The sequence below is a fragment of the Homo sapiens genome, chromosome 1, assembly GCF_000001405.40.
Source record: "Homo sapiens chromosome 1, GRCh38.p14 Primary Assembly".
Classification (NCBI taxonomy): Eukaryota; Metazoa; Chordata; class Mammalia; order Primates; family Hominidae; genus Homo; species Homo sapiens.
Genome location: NC_000001.11, coordinates 209,751,545 through 209,756,052, shown reverse-complemented (window position 1 = coordinate 209,756,052; position 4,508 = coordinate 209,751,545). Strand labels below are relative to the sequence as shown.

General features: G+C 42.2%; 2 annotated features.

The window, feature by feature from the left end:
• Positions 118–277: an enhancer, noted in NCBI's record as "active region_2472". NCBI's record gives its function as "activates an Ori minimal core promoter by ATAC-STARR-seq in GM12878 lymphoblastoid cells {active_cell/tissue: GM12878}" and the evidence as "EXISTENCE:reporter gene assay evidence [ECO:0000049][PMID:35858748]".
• Positions 3,961–4,070: an enhancer, noted in NCBI's record as "active region_2471". NCBI's record gives its function as "activates an Ori minimal core promoter by ATAC-STARR-seq in GM12878 lymphoblastoid cells {active_cell/tissue: GM12878}" and the evidence as "EXISTENCE:reporter gene assay evidence [ECO:0000049][PMID:35858748]".

Sequence of the window (4,508 nt, the reverse complement as noted above, 5' to 3'; positions counted from 1 at the left end):
AAGTGGGCCCCTGAACTCTGAGGCCTCCAGGGCTGGGCTCAGGAGCTCCTCCCATCAGTAGGCACCCCGGCCACCCTTTCTCTTGCTACTGGATTGGTCGGAGCTCTTGGACAGTTTCAAGTCAAGATTCCTTTCCATGATTAGAAAAGGATAGTCCTCTGGGTCAGATTCAGACCTTTGTGGTTTCTATGAGAGGGAAAAAAATGCCTTTTTGGTGGTAAGACCTAGATGAGATGTTCTCAGTGTAGGCTTTCATGTGTATCAGGTAGTTCTTTGTGTAAGGATTTTCCTTTTTCTTTAGCCACCTCTTCCCAATCCTGGTGTTGTAAAGAGTTTCTGCTCTTCTGAAGTAGGTGGTGTCTTTCTCAGATTCTGGAATGAGACCAACTCTGGATTTGCTCCTTTCTGGAGCAATGAGGAGGGAGTGTAAAGGTGGGTAGCTGGGGGATGAAGGAAGGAATAGAAGGCAGAGTCTTCTACACATTTTTTTATCTGGTCAACCGGACTAGGAAATTTAGGGAAAAACTAAAGGGAACTGATTTGCATGCATTAAGATGAAGCCATCACAAATGATGCAGCCAGGAAATTCCCAAGAAGTTCAGGCTAAAATAGTGGAGAGGAAACTGGATTGGGACAAGTTAACTGAGCAGCTTTGTAACCTTGTAAAATTCACCTTGTCTGGATGCTACTCACTGTGGTAGTTGGGTGATGTATGTGGCTCTTTGGAATTCTAAGGTTTGACACATGTGAGGCAGGTAATGAGACTTAAAAATAGCTGTGATAACATTTATTAACATGTGGAGAGTTTGTCACCATTTTCTCTGCTTCTGCTTCTTTCTCTGTTCTTTGAGGAGAAAAAGGACAAGGAATCGGCAGGGAAAAGCAGAGGATGGATTCTCAAGCACTAGGACTGAAGACAAGTGGCATTTACTCAGGATGAGAGACAACAGCTCAAGGCCCTGTGTCTGGAGCTTGACACATAGAGATGGGAATGAGTAGAGGACAGAGGGCTTGGGGAGCCCAAGATGTCAGAAAAAGAGAATTTTGGCCGGGCACAGTGGCTCACACCTGTAATCCCAGCACTTTGGGAGGTCCAGGTGGGTGGATCACTTGAGGTCAAGAGTTCAAGACTAGCCTGGCCAACATGGTGAAACCCCATCTCTACCAAAAATATAAAAAATTAGCCGGATGTCATGGCATGTGCCTGTAAACCCAGCTACTTGGGAGGCTGAGGCACAAGAATCGCTTGAACCTGGGAGGCAGAGGTTGCAGTGAGCCAAGAATGTGCCACTGCACTCTAGCCTGGGCGACAGAGTGAGACGGAGTTTCACTCTTGTTGCCTAAGCTGGAGTGCAATTGCGCGATCTCGGTTCACTGCAACCTCCGCCTCCCAGGTTCAAGCAATTCTCCTGCCTCAGCCTCCTGAGTAGCTGGGATTACAGGCATACGCCACCATGCCTGGATAATTTTTTGTATTTAGTAGAAATGGGGTTTCAACCATGTTAGTCAGGCTGGACTCAAACTACTGACCTCAGGTGATCCACCTGCCTCGGCCTCCCAAAGTGCTGCGATCACAGGCATGAGCCACCACGCCTGGCCAGAGAATTTTTATTGGCATAGAAGAGTGAGAAGATTCTGGGAGTTCAGGGCATTAGAGCGTAAAGAAAGACAGGAGATTTTAATAGGAGTTCCTATAGAGACCTACTATTTGGACTCCATTAAACATCAGAAAGAAATGTCTACAAAGTCCGCAGTCATTGGGATACTAATCCCATGATAACTGGGATTTAGAGTGGTCAATGATATGCTCAAGATCACACAGAAAGTGTTGGACCCAGGTTTGCTTGACAGTAGGTTTGAGCCCTTAACATTGTGTTCTGAGAACAAAACAATTAATAAGGTTGTCATACCTATCTATCTATATTGAAAAAGACACACACACACACACAGAACTTTGAGAATAGAAAATATACCTTATTTTCAAATGCCCACGAGACATTAAAAAAATTGACCATATGGATCAAAAAGTAAACCTCAGTATATGTTTTGAAAAGTTGATCTATTATGGCAGGATTTTCTGACCACAGTACAATACAATTGAAATAAATAACAAAAGATGGAAGAAAGAAACACTTTAACTTCTTGGAAAAAAATTCTTCCCATTTACTCTGAAAAGATAGAGGGAATTTCAAATCTGCAATTAAGAATGCATTGAAAACGGTGATAGTGGCAACATTATGAGGAAAATCTGTGAGGTATGGCCAAGCAGAATGCAAGGAAAATTCCTAGCTTTAAACATTTTCATTACCTAAATCAAGAAGATTAAAAATAAATTTCCTATTCATTTATTTTCAAATGAATTGCTAAAAAATGATCAGAAAAAAAGGAGGTGAGAATTTTGAAATGATAAAAGGAGAATATATAATAAGTTAGAATCCTGTTTAAAATTGATAAAAAAAATTCAGTTTTGTGTGTGCATCTGGCAGGGGGAGGAATGGTAGACATACAAATAGAAAACAAAATCAATAAAATAAAATATCAGCGAGCCAAATCAATTTAAAAAAGAGAAAAGACATTATAAAAGTTTAGGAATGATACATGGAAAGTAGCCACGATACGGTGGAAATTAATTATAGAGAGTCATTTGTGTAACTATGCTAATGATTTTTAAAATCTAGATAAAATGGATTTAAGAAAATGAATTTACCAAATTAAGCTCAAGTAGAGATTTGTAGTGTAATCATCAGCTGGCCTCCAATAGAGGGTTTAATTCAGGCTGCTCTTGAGCTGGGCACCAGGCTTTTAGTGGCCAGTATCCTTTGCTTCTCCTCATCATTTCCAGGTTCAATGGGAACAACGGCTCCCTTTTTTGATGGTCATATTCTGAAACAGTTTCCTTGATAGATGCTGGGCCCTGTGTAGTCCCCCATGAGGCGATGAGTATGGGGTAAGCTACCCTTTCCTTTATAGCCTGGTTGCTTCACAATACCACACAAGCATGTGTAAGATTATCAGATTTTATTGTACAGTTGGGGTAACTAAACTATATGCTAATATGACTTCTCCCATACTCCAAGAGACAGCACTAAGGAGTTAAAAAAATTTTTTTTTTCTTGAGATGGAGTTTCGCTCTGTTGCCCAAGCTGGAGTGCAGTGGCATGATCTCAGCTCACTGCAACCTCTGCCTCCCGGGTGCCTCAGCCTCTGGAGTAGCTGGGATTATAGGCATGCACCACCACGTCTGGCTAATTTTTTGTATTTTTAGTAGAGACGGGGTTTTGCAATGTTGGCCCGGCTGGTCTCGAACTCCTGACCTTAAGTGATCCACCTGCCTTAGCCTCCCAAAGTACTAGGATTACAGGCATGAGCCACCATGAAGTTAAACACTTTATGGGGGTCCCCTCATGGGTGTTACCAGTTCTAATCCCACTCCTCTTTCCACTCTACAGGGTGACTCCTACCTATCTTCTGGGAAATGGCAACCTCATTCATAAGAGTTGTTCTTGCCTTAGAATCCTTCCCTACACTCCTGACAAGGTTTCTTCAGCACCGCATTCCTCAAGTCTAAGTTATTCATTCTAGAATAGTGCTGCAGACACTCTTAATAGGATAGTCCACAGCGGCCTTGGCACTCCAAATTTTGCAGAACAGCTCAGGGCAGGCATACTTAAGTCTGTTCGCATTCAAGTTCAAGTTCTCCTTATCAGGTGACTTGCAGACTCTCCTCCTTAGTTTTCCAAGTGTCTAGCTGGTAACTGTTTACTCAGATGTCCACACAAACATCCCAAAGACAAATATTCATTCTCAGAGATGATACAGTCTAAACTCACCAGGAGGAAGACAAGTATTTCCTTGACTCCTACGTTTGCAAGGTTGCTGCTCTGTCGAGTTATGACTGTACATTTGTGGCAGGACAGAGTTCTAAGTCCTCCTCTTGTCTTTGCTTGCTTTGTATCATCATTGTTGGTAGAGAGCCTTTTCGTGTAATGAAACCTCAAATTTATGCTGTAAGAGACTTTCAATATTAGCAAGAGATTTATCTGTTGTTTAGATTCTAAGAATCTGAAAGGCCTAACCATAAGGCTCAAATAACTGTGGATCCGTTCTTGTGGGTCCAGCATTGAGCAAGGGACAAGTTACTTTTTGTTGTAGGCTCATAAGAAAGGTGGTCTCACTGGCTGTGACATTGAAGGGCCTTGACAGGCTGCAGCCTCAGGCTTGGGGGTGAAGGTGGGGTAGGTATAGAGGTAGGAGTGTATGTATATTAGGAAACAGAAAAGGAAAGAGTAATGTAGAACAGAAAAAGGGGGGCCTCCCAGGCACCCATCTCTATTTGGACGGAAAGGACAAACCACAAGTTAATCTTCAGAGAGCTTTCATTTCTCTTCTTTATCCTTCATTTGAGGTTCTGTACCCTTGACTCCTGCCAGAATATGAAATAGGGCTGTTCCTGAGTTAAATATCATAATGACTTGTCTTCTACTCATAAAATGCCCTTTTATAAATGA